Source organism: Homo sapiens, chromosome 11, assembly GCF_000001405.40.
Source record: "Homo sapiens chromosome 11, GRCh38.p14 Primary Assembly".
Classification (NCBI taxonomy): Eukaryota; Metazoa; Chordata; class Mammalia; order Primates; family Hominidae; genus Homo; species Homo sapiens.
Window position 1 is genome coordinate 74,904,824 of NC_000011.10, and position 19,635 is coordinate 74,924,458.

Here is a 19,635-nt window from a genome sequence, read left to right on the forward strand (position 1 = left end):
TAAAATACACAACCTACCAAGATAAAAGTCACAAACCTAATAACAGAGAACCAAACCAACTTCACAGTAAAAAAAAAAAAAAAAAAAGCCAGAAATGCAAGGAGATACTGACAAATCTACAACAGTGGGGACAGACTTTAATATACCTATTTCCAAAGTTAACAAACCAAGCAGACAGAAAATTATTTTAGGGAGAATCTGAATAACATAATTGTGCCCTTTATTAAGTTGTTACTATTATTATTTGTAGAGACAGGGTCTCACTCTGCTGCCAGGCTGGAGAGCAGTGGCGTGATCATAGCTCACTACAGGCTCAAGGGATCCTCCTGCCTCAGCCCCCAGTAGCCAGGACTATAGGTGCATGCCATCACACCCAGCTAATTTTTTAATTTTTTATAGAGATAGGGTCTCGTTCTGTCATCCAGGCCAGAGGGCAGTGGCATGATCATAGCTCACTGCATGCCTGAAACTCCTGGCCTCAAACAATTCTCCAGCCTTGGCCTCCCAAAATAACTGCCACTGTGCCCGGCCAGTTATTAGTATTATTTTTAACTTTGAAATCCATCTTTCTTTATTCTGCTTTAGAATGCTGGAGCTGAGGCTCTCAAAACCGTATTTCTGCTTTGACCGCTGGTTTCCTGTTAGACTCTGACAATATGGGTGGTGCTAAAGGGAGACTGCAAAGCTGGAAGAGGAAAAAGGGGCTTATCTCTTCCTATCTGCTTCCCATGGGTTTCCTAACTGCTTGTGCTTCCTGTGAATGCCACTGGAATAATGTGGTTTTTGATTTGTTTTGTTTTTGCTGTAGTCTAGCAAGTCTTTCCCCAGCAGTAGCTGAATCTAGTTTGCAGTTTTTCCAACTTTTATAAACTAGCTTCACTGTGACTCCTCCACAGGCACCAGCACCAGCTGGCCAGTATCCTCAGAGATCTGGGTCTCAGCTACATGAAGCCCATCATAGCTCGGAGACACCAGCAGCCAAGCAGCACCGCTTCCCCAGAGGTCTAAATTTCAGGTGTCAGGAGCACCTCTTCCAAGCTTCTAAAGTTGCATAATTTCAACCTCATTCTACAAAGAAAACTCCAGGCTCAGGTGGTCTCATGGTGAATTCTTCCAAAATTTAAGGATAAAATAATAATAGTATATAAACTTTCCTAGGAAACAGAAATAAAACTTCCAAAACACATTTTATCAGGCAAGCATAACCTTGATTATAAATCCTAACAAGAATACTGTAACAAAAGAAATCAATACACCAACACATCTCCCAAACATAGATGCAAACATCCTTGACAAAGAATCAGCAAATTCAATTCGTGATATTCACCATGACCAAGTGAGACTTTCAGAATAAACTCTCAGAAGTGTATTTCCACCATGAGGGTAGAATTTCTGGGACAAGGGGTGTCACTCACCTGTCCGGTCAACATCCTTTTTCATGGGCAGTACAGTATAATCCAGTTGCTCATCTGAGTCCTCAAGCATCCTTGGCTTGGACTGCAGCATGAATTGGGGCTCTTTATGGGGACTTCCCCTGCCTCCATTCCAGTCTACTGACTCGTCATAGAGCTGAACTTGCTGTAGGTATGGGATCCTGATAATCCTGTTTTCATCCAAGCTTAACTTCTTCAGTCTTCAATTAAGGAAAGTGAATATAGAATCATAGCAATAATGATACCTCAGGATTGTTTACCAAGCAACTTTAGGGAAAAAACATGGAATCAGGCTTGGATACTTATTCCTCTTGTGTGACGTTGAGCCGGTGACTTACTCTCTCTGGGATTCAATATCCCTGTCTCTAAAATGGGGATAATATTTATTAACCTTTCAGGGTTCTTGTGAAGATTTAATGAGGCAATATGTAAATGGCCTGGCACAAAGTAGTATTCAGTAAATGGTAGTTGAAACCAAAGTAAATTTTCCAGAGAAGTAAAGCTTAACAATGTAAATGCCACTATTTTCTTTACTTCAGTTAGAATTCAGGAATTAAATTTCTCTTTCTGATTCTCAATATTTTAAAAAATTTTCCTGTCTCTACTGTCAGGGTCCGAATCCTATCTTGGGTAAAATCTCCTCCTGTTTTCCTTTCTCTTTGCTGCTTCTAATTCAGTCATGTGATCAGAAATGTCCTCACTCATGGCCATTTTTATGGAGGAGCCAAAGCTCAGAGGGGAGAAATGACTTACCCATGGCCACACAGTAGAGATAAATTGTGGAGCTAGGCTTTAAACCCAAACCTTTTGGCTTCCAGAACAGCACTCAGAGTGTGAGCAAGCCTGGGGATTAGAGGAGGCCCAGCAGAGAAAGGCTTATGGCTTTACCTCCTGAGCCCAGCCAGGCTGGCAAAGCAACTGGGGTTGGAGAGTCTGTTGTCATCCAGCATCAGTGTCTCCAGCGCTGGGAACCTCAGGATGTACCTCTTGCTTGTCAGCGATGTTACAGATGCCTCCCTGTGAGTGCAAAGATCTTGGGTAATGAGCAAGGTCGAGGGACAAATTCCACCATTCCCAGGAAGCCATGGAGGACAGGGAATCAATTAGGAGGACTAACCAGCTTAGGAACGGTTCTAGTGCCCAAAAGAGGTCCCCATAGGGATGCACAGAAAGTATAATTCCTTCCCCACCTTCTCCTTTCCCAAACACTATTATACATACCATATTGTCTTCTGTATGGAGAAAGGTTACACACATCATTGAAACCAGGTTAGGGCAGGATGGGGGATTGTATAGGTAGTGCTTATAGAAAATGCCAGGTGAAAGAGGCATGACCAAGCTGGAGGGAGCATTCTGCAGATCACTGCACAATTTTGACTCAGGAAGACTCCTTGTTATGCTGTGTCACCTAGTAGACTGGTAACTGGGAGCACCAGGAGACAATGCCCTTGTTATAGACCACAGCTTTGCCACCTAGTAGGGTAAAGTAGGGTGGGTTGAGGGCACCACCCCTGGCTGCAGTGAGGCTCTCTTCTCAAGTGGCTTCATAAAATGAACACATGAGTAAGGAGTGGAGAAGTTTCTCCTTAAACTCAAACTCTCTGAAGATTCCCAGAAATACCTAAGAGTGAGATTTATGGGGGTGATGCCCTGAATTACAGGGGTGGGCAGGAAGTGGTGGCATTTTAAGTACCGCCATTAATGTGACCTCACTTGTGTCCTCCAGGTAGATGAGACCTAGGTAACTCTCTTCCACACAGGCAGATGACACAAATAACGTTTTCATTCTTCCCTCCATACTGTATGCCACCCACACACCAAAATAGTACACATAGGCACAAATGCATATAGTATACACATATATAAGCCACAAACACACACACAACTAGAGGAAGGGAAACAAACATTTCTTTAGCACCTAATGCATTTCTGGCATTGTGCGATATGTTTTGTATGTGTTATCCAAGGATAGGTATTATTTATCTCCTTTACAGATTAACAAAATGAAGCTCAGAGCAACTTGCCTGAAGTCGCATAGCTAGAAAGTGGGATGACTCAAACTAGAACCTGGGTCTGCCTGACTCCAAATCCCATGCCCTTTCCACTGCCAAATCACACCTTTCACATTCACCTCTACTAGCCCCATGTGGATTAAAGGGTGGGGAAATGGAAGGGGGAGCTGATGCCTGAGCTAGAGAGAGCTTAACAAAGGTTGGCAGTGAGTTCAAAAGCTAGGACAGTAATGTATACCTGAAGTCAGGGATATTTCACAGGTGCATTTAGAGAGGGTATATTCTAAATGAATGTATTACTAATTAATTCGTTCATTCACACTCATGAATTTCTTTAACATATATTTATGTGGCCAGGTACTGAGACTACAAATAAAAGAACACATCCCTCCCCTCTAGGTGGAGTAGGTGGACACGCAGCCTGTGGTGAGACAAACACCATAAAAGAAGTATGTGGGGAAGGCGCCTATTCGGGAAAGGCAATGTTTAAGCAAAACCATGAGGAATGGAGAGGGAATTGTCATGCTTTTAACCAATGTGAAAAAGAGAGAACAGGGAAAAAAATAATCTCTTCGTGGCTGGATCTGTAACATAATTAGTAGCTATAGGCAGCCATGTTTCCCATCATGAGGTCTAGAAAGACACAGGCAGCCCACCTGTAAAGAAAAATGTGGCAAGTCACAGAGAGGAGGAGGTGTGAAAGCTGAGAGACAGAACTTCCAGGCTGCTCCACGGTGCTCAGGGTCTATGTTCAGCATGACCCTCAGGCACGGCTGTGAGATTCCCCAATGTTCTTACAATCAATTCCCCCCTGCCTTTTTTTCTGTATCCTAACACTGACAGACTTCTATAGATTATGACAGTTCTGACTGGAAAAAGGGACAGGTCAGATAAACTTTCAGAAAGAGACCTGGCAGCACTGTAGAGAACAGGCTTGAAGTCCAAAGACCAGAGACACTTAACAGAGAAGGCAGGAAGCTTTTATACTTCATAATATTTCAAGGTCATGAGTGTGCCCTTTCCTCTTTCTGGAAGGACCAACTTTCATACATTGAATTTTTAATCTCTATCTGAGCTATTACAGAACAGTGCACAGCAGCTGTGTTGATTTATAATTGATTGGCCAATCTTAATTTTACTCTAGTGAAATATGAAACAGCTAAGAAATAAGCCTTTAAAAAATTCCTCTTAAGCTCCATAATGCAGAAGCTGGCTCTGTCTCGTCTCTTGTGACAAGTTACACTACTTCGTCTTTTTAAAGTTCTACCCTAATTATAGCATGGGAAAGTTTCATTTTTTGTCTCTAAAATAGACATCTTAAAATAGAGGGGCAGCCATCAGATGGGTGAGAAGACAGATGTCTAGCTTCAGAGGAAAGCAGCAGGCTTTCCCACCGAGCCCCTCCTGTGGCAGTTTTGGAAGAAAAGCTCTTCAAAGTGGCAAAGTCTGTCAGTAGTGGAGAAGCCGGGGTTTCCAGCTGTTCAGAGTGGTGCTATTTTTATTATCACTTCTCTTGCCAAACAGAATTACTACTACTTAAAATCTGAGAGATTTAATGAAAGTTTTTCAGAAGCTAAGGGTATGTGCAGTGGTTGGATTCAGCAATGGGAATTTGTGTACCATATTAGAAGATGCATGGGAAGGGTGGCCAGGATCCCTGAGCTCTGGCTCCGGTGCTGCTGCTGCTTTGCTTGCTGTGTGACTTCCGGCTGGTGTTGAGCATCTCTGGGCCTAGATCCTCTATCTGTATGGTAAAGGGGGATTTCTTTTACTTTACACTGTAAGACTTTCGATTAGGCTAAAAATATTGCTCAAAAGACTGAACCAAGGGCTGCAACAAACAAGATGAAACTTAGCAAGTACTTACATTACGACAAATGTCAGATCAGCTTCTGTGTTAAGATACAGAACACCAACTGTGCAAACACACAGAATAAGGGAGACATGGCTTAACAAACTGTGTGTGTGTAAAAGGGGATTATGATGTGGCTACTAAAAAGCTAGTGCTCTTTCAGGTGGCGTTATTTGGAATATAGTGACTAAAAGAAAGGAGGTAACAATTCATCCTCTGCTCTGTGCTGGTCGTGCCTGAGAACGCCGACTTGTATGGTCTGAAGCAGAAAGAGAGTAGGCCTAATGAAAGAGCCAAAGTAGCAGATTCCAGCTCAAAACAAGCAATAGAGTAGTCTACGTATAGAATGGGTCAAATATGATTCCCCTAACTCACCCAGACAAAAAAAATAGCAAGAAATGGAGACACAAATAGTTCAGAATAGATGAGGTATATGATGAATGGAAAAAGTGAAGAGAAAGGAGGATGGAGAAGCAGGCAGAGTCAGGCCATGAAAAGCTTTGAGCGATGTTAATGGAGTTTATCTTTAGGATAGTGGGAACCTGCTAAAGGACTTTAAGCAGGGCAGTGATAGAATCACATGTGCATTTCAGAAAGATCACTCTGGCTGACAGATAGGAGGATGGGCTGGGAGGCAAGAAACTGCAGACTGGGACCAAACAGGAGGATAACAGCAATGAGCAGGTTTGAGAAGAATTTAGAAAGTACAATTCACAGCACCTGGTGATTGAATGTATGTGTGGAATGAGGGAGGCCAAAATTTGGGCTAATGCTCAGGTTCTAGCCTGGACAACTACATAGTAGGTGGGAAGAAGTGCCAGTCAATGAGGCCAGGAAAGGAAAGAAAGGAGGAGAGAGCGAGAAGGAGGGCTTAATGGCATGGGGATGTGTGTGAGGAGTTTGATAAGTAGGCTAAACAGGCTTATAATTCAGAAGACTTGCGAAGAGGAGGCCACCAATAAAGAGTATAAAGATAAAGAAAAATAGTAGGTTAAGGGTGGATGACTGGGGAGCACCAACGTTTAAGAGGCTAGCAGAAAAGGAACCCACAGAGCATACTGAATCTAGATAGATGAGTGGGAAGAAAATAATGACAATGGTATTGGTCTGGAGCCCCACAGCTTTATTTTTATTTTTGTAGAGATAAGGTCTCACTACGTTGCCCAGGCTGGCCTCAAACTCCTGGGCTCAAACAATCCTCCTGCCTCAGCCTCCCAAAGTGCTGGGATTACAAGTGTGAGTGACCATGCCTGGCCAACCCACAGCTTTCAAAGCGTGCTGATTTCAACTGCTACTCTGATGCAGGTAGGAATACATTTATTCTCCCCCTCATATATAAGAACATGAAAGTGCAGGGTGGGGGAGACTTGCCTTATTTTATGTAACTAGGCTTTCCACTGAAAACAACTAGAATGATGAATAAAATATAAAAAGAAAAAAGATCCATCATTTTATTTATTTTCTTTTGTAGAGATGGGGTCTTGCTATGGTTGCCTAGGCTGGACTTGAACTCCTGGCCTAAAACGATCTTCCCACCTTGGCCTCCCAAGTAGCTGGCACTACAGGCACACACCACCATTCCCCGTGGTGGTGGATCCATCATTTTAATATGTATAAGAGATGTGAAGAGAGAAAGGAAGCAGTATGCCAAATCTAAAAACCCAGAGGGAGAAACTTAACATAGGAAGCCACTCAAGCCTTGAGGGCATATACTTATCCTGTTGAAACTGAACTATGGTTTAACAGTATCATGGGGCTAGAGAATCAAAGCCCAGGGTACCCTGAAGGTGGGGAGTTTAATCAGAGACCCTTTATATGAATTTCGGATCCTAAAGGGATACACCCTCAGGGTGAAATTAACCAAAACTAAACCTATTCTCCTTATCCCATAGCCAGGAGAAAACTGTCTTGGAGTGAACAGAGAAAGACAAGGGGAAGGGCAGACTGGTCCTCTTGCAAAACTGTAGCCCAAATCTGTATCATCAGAGTGATTCAGAAAACACCCAGTCAGGAATTTAGCTTAAGCTGATTCCATCCTGAGTGACTCTAGGTACCAAAATAAATAGAAAGGTTTATAGTGTTGCAAACTAAATAATGTGGGACCAACTCTTCCCTGAGTAAAAAACTAGAAAACCCAGACAAAATATACATTTAAAAACAATCTGCCTTAAGATACCTGGGAACTAACAAGCTGTGAAGAATTATGGCGCTAAGATTTGAAAAAAGAAGGAAATCCAAAGGGGTTCATGCAACACTTTTCCCCTAGGACTGTCTGCTGACTCCAGAAGTGGCTGAGAGGCTGAGAAGTTGAGCAGAGATTCTGACAACCCTGCTGGGCCAGGGGCGAAAATTGGAATCCAAGGCATGCCACAGAATAGAAGCCTGACTACTCATGCTCTAAGTTAGGTCATTAGAAAACCAAACCCTCGGAGGACGTATACACTAGAAATAGTATGGACGTTGCAGAGACTGAAGACTAGCTTCAAATAATTTCAATTTTTATAATTGAATTAAGATGATTTGAAATTATTAGTGATGTAGATCACCAGAAAACCCTTGATCTGGTGGGCAAAAAGTGATTTGAGTTGTCCAAAGAAAGAGCCATGGCCTCTCATTCAGTTCCTATTTACATTTAACTTAAAACTAATTAAGCTTAAATAAAATTGAACATTCAGTTCCTGTATCACACTAGCTACATTTCAAGTGCTCAAGAGCTCAATATGCCTAGTAGCTACACTATGAACAACACAGATATAGAACATTTCCAACACTGTAGTAAGTTCTACTGAACAGTGCTAAATTAGGCCTTGTAAGGATTACTAGACAGTGTCTGCAAATTGGTGCTCATCTCTGGGGATATGAAAGGCATGGTGGACCATCACTCAAAAGTGGGGGATCATAAAGGTCAGATGGAAGAATGAAAATTTAGCCAAAGTCTGTTTCACAATGGACCCAGTGAAGTCACATATCTACCCTGAACGTGTAACTGAAACTGACATACTAAACAACTGGCAGAACACCCACATTTATTTACTGAGCAACAAAGTATATAGCCCATTATAGTAGGAAGTGTCCAATTGAAACCCCAGGAACTTTTCTTCCCAATAGTAAACCAAAAACAATACTGAATCCCTGAGGTAATTGCAGAGATTACTGCCATCACTAAAGATTAAAAAGATGGAAGGATAATGATTCCTATGACATCCCTGTTTAACATCTCTTGTTTAGAAGATTGTTATGTATTGTGAAGAAGATATCCTTTGTTTATTTAGCTTGTACAGAAAACAGGTTTTGAAGAATGATTGTAGATTCCTGTAAGCTTAATCAAGAGGTGACTCCCACTTTCAGCTGCTATTCCAGGTGTGGAATCTTTTTACTGGAGCAAATCAACCAAGCCCCTGGCACTGTGGATACAGCTAAGGACCTATCAAATGTTTCTTTCTCTCTCTTTATCAATTAATAAGAACTACCAAAAGCAGTCTGCTTTCACCTGACAGGGACAACAGTACACCTTTTTCCTCTTCTCTTGGGGCCATATCAACTCCGGGATCTTGGTTATTTTGATATCCTACAGAATATCATACTGACTGGACCTGGCGAGCAGGAAAAGTTGCAAACACCCTAGATGCCTTAGTAAGATACCTGTGTGTTACAGGATGGAGGTAAGCCCCCTCCCCCATCAAAATTCAGGGTACTACGATATGGATTAATTTTTTGTTGTTATCCAGGTATCTGAAGCATGTTGTGATGTACTTCTAATGTGAAAGACATAATCCTGTACCTTGCTTCTTATTTATCTTACACTACTTGTAGGAAAAAAATCACAAAGTTTCACTGGCCTTTGTGGATTTTATTTTTATTTATTTTATTTATTTATTTTTTGAGATGGAGTCTCACTCTGTCGCCTGGGGTTGGAGTGCAGTGGTGTGATCTTGGCTCACTGAAACCACTGCCTCCCAGGTTCAAGCGATTCTCCTGCTTCAGTCTCCCGAGTAGCTGGGATTACAGGCGCCCGCCACCACATCTGACTAATTTTTGTATTTTTAGTAGAGACAGGGTTTTGCCACATTGGCCAAGCTGGTCTCGAACTCCTGACCTCAAGTGATCCACCTGCCTCGGCCTCCCAAAGTGTTGGGATTACAGGCGTGAGCCACCGTGCCCATCCCCCTTTTAAATTTTAGAAGTGACATAAAATATTTGGTGCTGTTCTAACTCATTTACTAAGTATCCCACAAGGCTGCTAGTTTTGAGTGAGGTCCAGAGCAAGGCAAGGTTCTACAACAGGTCCCAACTGTAATGCAAGTTGCTCTTCCATTGGGCATATGACTCAGCAGGTCCAAATGGCTTCTAAAGGACTATGGCAAATAGGTGTGCTGTACAGATAGGGTACCATACATCCTGGATTTCAATGATAGCCTGAGTTTTCACCTGTTATCGCCAAATAATTATTACTACTGTCCCTTTTCCCTCTCATATATGTCCTGGTTTGGATGATAAAGTACATGGTCATTCTATGAATAGAGCCTTTTCTCGGTACCCATAGCAGATTCATTTTTGAGCAAAGTTATGCCCTATTCTGCAGATAACCTTTTTTTTTTTTTTTTGAAAAACAATTTCTTGCTTACTAGTGCATGTTGGTAGAGGCCAAATACCTGACCACAGGATACTATGTGATCATGCAACCTGAGCCACTCATCATGAACTGAACATGCAACAGAAATCCCCCATCAAGTGAAAGCAATATTTGAAATCAGGCTCCAGCAAGACTGGAAAAGTTGCAGGAATATATGGCTTAGATTCCTATGGCGCATACTCCTGCTGTACTGCTACCTCTTCATCAACCCTTAACTAAGGTCCTGTGGCCATCTAATATAGGAAGAAAAACCTCTAGCTTGGTTTACAAATGACTTAGCATGATATGCTGATACCTTCTCAAAGTCAACTATTACAATATTATAGCCCCACACAGGAGTGACCAAAAACACAGGGGAAGAGAAATCTTCTAAGCAGGCAGAACTTAGAGCAATGTATCTGATTGGCCATTTGCTTGGTCAGAGAGATAGCCAGAAATACAGATCTATACTGATTCACGGGCAGTGGCTGATGGTTTAGCTGAATAGTCAAAGCTTGGAAAAAATATGGGAAAGTTGCTTAAAGTATAGAGAAAAATTATGTGACTTAACCTCTCAGAATGGATAGAGTGTGAAGACCGTGTCTCATATGACTGTTTCCCCAAGACAATCCCCTGTGGCGGAGACTCTCAATGGTCAGGAAGATAAGGTAACCCAATCCATGAATGTCAGTTGCCCTCTTTCCCTTGGTGGCAGGGATGAAGGCTACACACTTCCTTTCACCATAGCAAATCTGGTTATGACCCTTGCTGAGTACTCAACCTGCCAATGGCAGAGGCCACTGCTGAACCCCTAATATGGCACCGAATTTCTAGAGGGATTATACAGCTGTCTAGTATCAAGTTGACTTTAAAAAGCAGCAGCAAGTTTCCTTTACTAGATTATAAATGTATTTTTGGATATAGATTTGCCTTCCCTGCCCACAATGTTCTACAAGTGGAATAGAAACTGTTGATACAATAATACTAGCTTTTGTAATTGCCCATGTATTTACCTTTAATGAGAGCTTTATTCCTTCTTACAGCTTTGAGTTACTGTCTAGCATCCTTTCATTTCAACCTGCAAAACTCCCTCCAGTATTTACGCAGGGCGGGACTGGTGGTAATGAATTTTTTTTACCTTTTGTTTATCTGGGAATGTCTTAATTTCTTCCATACTTTGGAAGAACACTTCTGCTGGATGTAGGATTCCTGATTGACAGGTTTTTTTTTCTTTTAGCACTTTAAATATTTAATATATCAGCCCACTGCCTTCTGGCCTTAAAAGTTTCTGACAAGAAGTCTGCTGATAATCTTATTGAAGATTCCTTGTATGTGATGAGTTGCTTCTCTCTCACTGCTTTCAAGATCCTCTGTCTTTTAACAGTCTGATTATAATATGACTCAGTGGAGGTCTCTTTGAGTTCATCCTATCTTGGAGTTCACTGAGCCTCATGTATGTTTATATTCATGTCATTCATCAAACTTGGGAAGTTTTAGGCTATTATTTCTTCAAATAATCTCTCCGTGCTTTCTCTCTTCTCCTTCTGGGACTTTCATAATACATAGGTTGGTTTGCTTGATGGTATCCCAATCCCACAGGTCCCTTAGGCTTTGTTCAAGTCAATCTTTTTTTTTCCTCTTGTTTCTCTGACTTGATACATTTAATTGTTCTGTCTTCAAGTTTGCTGATTCTCTCTTCTGACTGCTCGAATCTGCCTTTGAAACTCTCCAGTGAATTTTTCATTTCTTATTCTAATTTTCAGGTTCAAAATTTCTTTTTAGGTTGTCTATCTCTTTGTTGATATTTCCATTTTGTTAATATATCATTTTCTTGACTTTATTCATATCTTTCATTAGTTCTTTGAAAACCTTTAAGACAGCTGTTTTAAAGTCTTTATCTAGTAAGTACTCACTTTCTCAGGGATAGTTTCTGTTGCTTAATTTTTTCCTTTGGATGGGCCATATTTTTCTGTTTCTTTGTATGCCTTGTGATTTTTTTGTTGAAAGCTGAATATTTGAATCTATTAATATGGTAACTCTAGAAATCAGATTCTTCCCTTTACCAGGGTTTGCTGGGTTTTTTTGTTTCGTGTTTGATTATTGCAGGCTGTCTCTGTGTCAAGGATCAGGCTGATGTGTAAATGTAAGTTCTTCTCAGGTCTTTTCTAAGCCTGTGCATTTCTCTGGATATATGTGGTGACATTCTAATTTCCTCTGTATATGCAGCTGATTTTGAATGTCCTAGACTTTAATGCCTGGCTCCCAAAAGATGGGGAAAGGAATGAGGATTAAGAAAAGAAATCCTTTAAATTCCCTGGAAGTCTCTTCAGCTGGAGCAGAAAGGGCTTATGACAGTTGTGGATGGGTGTGTGTGCAACAATGGTTGTGTGCCTCTGTGTGCACCTCAATGATGAGAAGTAGCAATCAGTGATCACAGCACAAATCTCTAAAATTTGGAGGACAGAGATCTTTTTGTCCACCCTGGCTCCTGCAAGCTGCATGTGAATTACCCAATGAATATATTTCTTATTCTAATTTTCAGGTTTAAAATTTGAACCATGAGATTGGGAGTTAGGGGATGGGTAGCTGCTACCGGGTTAAAGCTGTAATTGACTGAAATTAGTTGCAGTTTGTCATCTAAATCTTCCCCTGGAAGACGTAAACTTTTAATAGAGTGTGAAGATTATTTGTGTCCACAGTTTCAAAATTGTTACATCAGACTGATTCTGGCAATGAAATTGTTGTCTAGATGAGGAGACAGATTCTTGGTGCTTCCTACTCCATCATCTTCCCAGAATCCTCTAGTGAAATAGTCTTTGATGATTTATCTACTATACCAATTAGATATAGTTAGGGAAGTTGGGACCCTAACTTAACAGCATAGGATATCACATAAACCAAAACTGATACTGTTTTTCTCATAACCACAACCTAAGGTCCTAGGAATTAATGGAAATGAAAGTAGCTCCTCTTACAATTATATCTAATAGTCCACTTGCAGAATTTTTGCTTCTCATTCTACAACTTTTGGCACTTCTGATTTACAGGTCTTAGTTCCTAAGGAGGTACTTTTACCAAGAGACACAATCATGGTTCCACTGAACTGGAAGTCGAGATTGCTACCAGCCACTTGCATTTCTCATTTCACTGAACCAACAGTCAGACAAAGAGGGGTTCATTCTACTGGCTAGGTGACTGATATTGTTTATAAAAATAAATATAATTGCTGTTATACCTTGAGGTTAAAAAAAAAAAAGTATCTCTGGGACTAGAGTATTATCTGGTGCTCCTCTAAGAAGTTCCATGTCTTTTAGTCTTTTAATGAAGACTACAGCAACCCAGTAAAAGCAGGACCTTAAAGGACTCAGACCCTTCAGAAGTGAAGGTTCAGAAGACCACATCAGTTAAAGAACCCCAACCAGCCAAGGTGCTGGAAGATGACAGAGGAACATTAAATAGGTGATGGAAAAAAGGATTTACAAATATCCACTATGGCCTCCTGACCAGTTAAGAAAAGATCACTGTAGCAACTATGCATATTTTCGTGTGCATTTTCTTCCTTCCTTAGTGTGTGTGTGTGTGTGTGTGTGTGTGCACTCGCATGCACACTTAAACTGCTAGTGGTGACTGACTTTACAACTTAGTTTTTAGGATATAAAATATCCATAAATTTCTTTAGAAGAGAAAATAATATCATCCAGCAATGGCTACAGTAACTGATGGAACTGTGTCTCATCCTTCTTGAGGGGATGGTGAAAGTGTCTTCAGTATAAGAGGAAGAGTTCCTTCATGTTAGGTAAAAGCATGTTGCAGTTGCTATTGTTGTATGGAAATTAAATATGGAGGGAAGCAGGAGGGTAGCTATTGGGGTTCCAAGGGTTGAATGGTGCCAGTTATCTGCCTATTTGCTCTCAGCCTTCACCCCTTCCTTCTGTGTTCTTCTATGTATTGTAGGGGGCTGGAGCCATCTCCTTAACTACACTTCCCAGACTGCCTTTCCAACTAGTTGGATACTGCCAATAGAAGGGATTCATGAGAGACTGGAAGGCCAGAGCCAGGGAGAAGCAACTCTCTTGTCTGGCTTCTGATAGCATTTCTGTCAGCAGCAGCAGTGATAGTGCAACAGCAATGGCAGTACTAACCATGGTAACTGCGTTGGCAGAGATTCCAGCCTTGGTTGAGGCATCACATCTTCAGCAGGTCTACAATTACAGTGACACCCTCCCTGAAAGCCCAGCAGTGGATATAGACTTGTTGACTTCAGTTTAGCAGTGATGCAGCTTCTGATCTCTGGTTATCAACGCTTCTTACTTTTTGTTCTTCCCATACCCCTCTTCTCCACTTAGCTCTTCCATCCCTTCTAACAGCCATGTAACCAATTCCCTCTCTATCACTGGTGATATTTTAGGTGGAATAATGGTTCTCTGGGTATGATTTTTAAGAGTGCTTACCTTTTAGAGCTACATACTGGAATATTTATAGATGAAATAATATGAAACATTTATGGCTGTATATATCTGAGATTTTTCTTCAGAATATTCCAGGAGGGGGCGTGATGGGGGCATAGATGAAACAAGATTGGCCATGACTTGATAATTGTCAGGTGATAATTGTTGGTGATAGGTACCTGGAGTCAATTTTATGATAGACTCTAATTTTATATGTGTTTAAAAACTTTCCATAACAAAATACCAATTACCTCTCCCTGCCAAGAATTAATAAATGAATAAACCAATCAGTAAACCAATTAATACCATCTATTTGTAATACCTTGAGTGGGTTTTGTATTTCTGTCTACAGCCTGACTGGCTCATGGAGAAAGCCTACCTAAGAATGAAGCCGGGACCCGGCAGAATGGCTCCTGTGAAGAAGGGTGGCAAGAAGAAAAAGGGCCGTTCTGCCATCAATGAGGTGGTGACCCGAGAATACACCATCAACATTCACAAGTGCATCCATGGAGTGGGCTTCAAGAAGCATGCCCCTTGAGCACTCAAAGAGATTCGGAAATTTGTCAGGAAGGAGATGGGAACTCTAGATGTGCACAACTGATACCAGGCTCAACAAGGCTGTCTGGGCCAAAGGAATAAGGAATGTCCCATGCCGAATCCATGTGCAGTTGTCCAGAGAATATAATGAGGATGAAGATTCACCAAATAAGCTCTGTACTTCGGTTACCTATGTACCTGTTACCACTTTCAAAAATCTATAGACAGTCATTGTGGATGAGAACTAATCACTGATTGTCAACTATATCAAACAAAGTTATAAAACTGCAAAAAAAAAAAAAAAAATGAAGCCAACACCAAGGAAAACAAAGATGTCTTCATGTGTATGACAGAACAAGTAACAGACTAACAGAAGCTGCACACATGCTCAAGAAATAGAGATGCACGCAGAGACCTGACAACATCCTGTGCGCCTATATCCAGCCAAAGCATCCAGCAGACTGACCTCATGATTTTTCACATACATGAACCAATAAATTCCCTTTTTTGTTTAAGCCACTTTGAATTGGACTTCTGTTACTTGCAAACAAAACAACCCTAACTAATGAAACCCCTAATAAATGATCACTACTATTATCTCAACCCCCTTGAGCAACTAGCCAACCACAATCATCACCATATAAAATCTAAGTAACTTATTACATATATACACATATATATATTAGGCATAAGCCACAATAGAATGTGCTAAGTATTAAATTAACTGTGGAAACACTAAATTAAACTGATCCTTAGAGAAGGGATTAAGAGGCATGGGCTAAAGCAGTCAGAGAAGGCTCCTGGTAGGGAAAGGAGGAAGGTCTGAGCTGGGCCTTAGAAAATGTACAGAATCTACATGAGAATATAATATAACAGTCATGAGTATGGTCTCTGGAGTCTGATAGACTTGATTCAAATCCTGGATCTGTTACCAACTAGCTTTGCAACTTTGGGCAAGTTACTTAAATGTCTGTACTTATTTCCTCATCTAAAAAATGTGGATAATAATAGGAGACCTACCTCACAGAGCTGTTATGAGGATTTAATGAGTTAACATACATAATGCCGAGAATACTGTCTGGCACATTGTAAGTACTACATATGTGTTTTTATTACTATTAAGAGGAAGGACCAGCCAGAGGAATGGCCTCAGCAAAGGTGCAGAGTGGGAAGGTACAAAGGTTATCTAGAGACCAGGGAACAGACTTACTGAGCTGACACAGGGGGCTCATGAAGGAGAATTGTCTGGCAAGACAGTTTACAGATGACCAGTCAGAGGCAGGGAAAGTGGCTTGCCAAACACCTGGATCTCTCCTAACAGCACACAGGAAATTGGGGGCGTGTGTCTGAGGCCTTTCTGGGAGCTTCAGTAGGTGCCATTATCCCTGCTTTGAGCACTTACAGCCTATCTTTATGGCACTTCAAGCTGCTATGGGCTATTTCCTTGGATATTTGTACACAAAAACACAGAATGGACTCCAGGAGGTAGAACTTACTGTTCTGCGACGGCCAAATTGGGCGGCAGGGAGGTAAGGCCATTGCCTGTGAGGAGCAGGACACGGAGGTGTGGCAGAATCCCCAAATCACAGATGGCCTCCACAGTCAGGCTGTTGAAGGAAAGGTCCAAGAACTGCCATGCAAAGATGAAAGATGGGGAAGGTAAGCACTCTGTGTGACAACAATGCTCATATATGATGTGGGAGCTACTTTCTAGAGTGCCCCATCGCCCACAGGACAAAACCCTCCTGGATCTCCAGATTAATATTCAAGGTCTACTAGAGTCAGTACCCAACTGGTTTTCTAGCCTTAGTTGCCACTACAAATCTTTGTTTATCCTGTAGTGCTAGGCAAATAGACTCCTCCCCGCTGTTTGCCTCATCCACCTATAGATCTTTGCTTGTGCTTTTTGCTTAAATGGGAATGCCATTCTTCCATGTATCCTAATCCAAGCCCCCAAAAGACAGCTCAAAAGCTGCCTCCTTGTAAAACCTTCTCAATTCCCCAGACAGATGGAATCTCTACCTCCCCTAACTTTGACTGCTTTATCTAAACTGCTTTCAGGGTACTTATCAAAGTCGGCTAGGTATCTGGCATATGTATATGCCTAGCACAGTGCTTGGCACACAGTGGTGGACTAGATCATAAACTGGTACTTGGAAGACTGTGGGGTCAAGTGCCATGCCACTGTAACACTGTATCCTTGTAAGTTAGCATAAGACCTGGCACAAAGTAGGTGCACAGAAAAAATGAGCTGAATAAACTGGCTTCAGTGGCTCACGCCTGTAATCCCAGCACTTTGGGAGGCAGAGGTGGGCAGATCATGAGGTCAGGAGATTAAGACTATCCTGGCTAACACGGTGAAACCCCATCTCTACTAAAAATACAAAAAATTAGCCAGGCATGGTGGCACACGCCTGTAGTGCCAGCTACTCAGGAGGCTGAGGCAGGAGAATCGTGTGAACCTGGGAGGCAGAGGTTGCAGTGAGCTGAGATCACACCACTGCACTCCAGCCTGGGCAACAGAGCAAGACTCTGCCTCAAAAAAAAAAAAAAAAAAAAAAGACAAAAGAAATAAACTGGCTTATGAGGACAATAACCCCAAATTGTCACCCTATTGTCAACCACCTTCTAACTGGCCTTCTGGATTCATGACATAGTTGACTGGGGTCAAGGGGCCAAGGGGTCAGTCAGAAAACCGTGTTTCTCTGCAGAGACAAAGACAATCAGGATAAATGACATCTGTCCAATATTTGTTCTCCTTCTCCTAAGCCTCCATAGACACTATATATACAAGTTGGCTCCCTTCCATCACCCCTATTTCTTATGTGCTTCCCTGTGCCCCCCTCCTCAACATACATTGAAGTCTATTGAATGGGGTCAGTTTCAGCAACTTATTCAATTGGTACAGGAGCAAGTCTTTGGTCAGCCACATCAGTATTACATAGTCAGACATATACACGCTACAGGTTACCCTCAGAGAAGGACTGGGTTTGGTCTGACTCTGCTGTAATAATTGATAGCTCTGCAGACCTGGGTGTTTAAGTCCTGACTAACCATGTGATATTAGGCAAATTACTTAATCTGGGTTTCCTTATCTGTAAAGTAGAAATAAGTGGTTCTTATGTAGATAAAGCCTTTATACTGGAGTCTAGTATACAGTAAATGCTTAATGTTGGCTGTCATCATCATCATCATCATTTCATTCCTCAACCCTATGTATAAGGCTTACTTTGTACCTGTCCCTGCCCTTTAGGAGCTCCCAGCCTACTCAGCTAAATACATGTATATGTTCATTATGTAGCAATGCTGCTGGGATAGATGTCTGAAGACAGACCAATCAGGGCACAAAGGAAGGATATGGTCAGGTCTACCAGGGGATCAGGACAGGCTTCACAGGGTAGGTAACATGTGAGCTGTCCTCAGAGACCAGTAGGTATTCACCAAATTGTTAAGGGCAAAGAGACATTCAGGGCAGAAAGTGGCATGTATAGAAGCCAGGAGGCAGGAGGCAGCCTTTCTTGTTCTGAGAACCATGAATAGTTTGGGTATGACTGAAGTCCCTGGCATAAGAAATGGCTTGATAGGACTAGCCAAGTACTACAGAAGCTCCAAGTTCATGCCACCATCAGCAAATTCCAAGGTTTGAGGGTTCAGACAATGAGGCAATCCCACTTGGCTGGAGCAAACAGAGAAGCCTACAGGAGGAAGACCTGGAAAGGTGCCTGAGATAAGCACAGGGAAAAGTGGGGAACATTCTCCCCTCATACTCATGTGTGAACAGTCAGCCTATGGATTCTATCTACCTCCTTAATATCTCTCATGCTTGTTCTCTCTAATCTATTTTTTATACAGAAGCCAGAATGGTTTTTCTAAAATGCAGTTCTGACCCTACCACTTAGCTTAAAACCCTTCAATGGATCCCTATTCTCCTTAAGGTTTAAACTCCTCAGCAAAGTTTCCAAGGTTCTCCCCAGTCTCTTTTCTGCTACCCCTCCAGGTTCACATATCACTACACTCTACTGTGTCTCAGTCTCTATTCCAGCCATACGGAGCTGTTTCATTAGGGTTCTAGCTCAGAAGCTGACCTACTGCTATTTTGTGTAACCCAGGAGCTAAGAATAATTTTTGCTTTTTTCTTTTTGAGACAGGGTCTCATTCTGTTACCCATTGGTATGAACATGGCTAGAGGGCAGTGGTGTGAACATGGCTCACTGAAGCCTCAAGCTGCTGGGCTCAAGTGATCCTCCTGCCTCAGCCTCCTGTGGGTCCACAGGCACGCACCACCATGCTAATTTTTTTTATTTTTGTAGAGACACGGTCTCATTTTGTTCCCAGGCTGGTCTTGAACCTCTGGGCTCAAGCGATCCTCCCATCCTGGCCTCCCAAAGTGCTGGGATTACAGGTGTGAGCCACCCTGCCCAGCCAATTTTTACATTTTTAAATGGTTGAAAAAAATAAAAAAAAAGAGTAAGAGTGGGCCGGGCGCGGTGGCTCACGCCTGTAATCCCAGCACTTTGGGAGGCCGAGACGGGCAGATCACGAGGTCAGGAGATCGAGACCATCCTGGCTAACACGGTGAAACCCCGTCTCTACTAAAAATACAAAAATTAGCCGGGCATGGTGGCATGCACCTGTAGCCCCAGCTACACGGGAGGCTGAGGCAGGAGAATGGCGTGAACCCGGGAGGCGGAGCTTGCAGTGAGTCGAGATCGCGCCACTGCACTCCAGCCTGGGCGACAGA

General features: G+C 42.1%; 1 protein-coding gene and 1 pseudogene across 69 annotated transcripts in view; one reads left to right on the plus strand and one right to left on the minus strand.

The window, feature by feature from the left end:
• XRRA1 (X-ray radiation resistance associated 1) overlaps window positions 1-19,635 on the minus strand; it is a 108,182-nt gene that overhangs the window by 63,914 nt on the left and 24,633 nt on the right. For 59 of the 69 annotated variants that reach the window (NR_165434.1, XM_047426407.1, XM_047426401.1 and 56 more), the window contains 3 exons: window positions 16,391-16,524; window positions 2,322-2,450; window positions 1,416-1,633 (listed from right to left, as the gene is read on the minus strand). Coding sequence is in view for 63 of the 69 variants with exons in the window: in NM_001378158.1 (NP_001365087.1) it covers window positions 1,416-1,633; window positions 2,322-2,450; window positions 16,391-16,524 (481 nt within the window). In the remaining 6 variants the exon portion in view is untranslated. Of the gene's footprint in view, window positions 1-1,415; window positions 1,634-2,321; window positions 2,451-5,065; window positions 5,190-16,390; window positions 16,525-19,635 lie in introns of all 69 variants that reach the window. The other 10 variants (NR_165439.1, NR_165438.1, NR_165437.1 and 7 more) reach the window with 4 other exon arrangements.
• Window positions 14,752-15,110, plus strand: RPL31P46 (ribosomal protein L31 pseudogene 46; annotated as a pseudogene).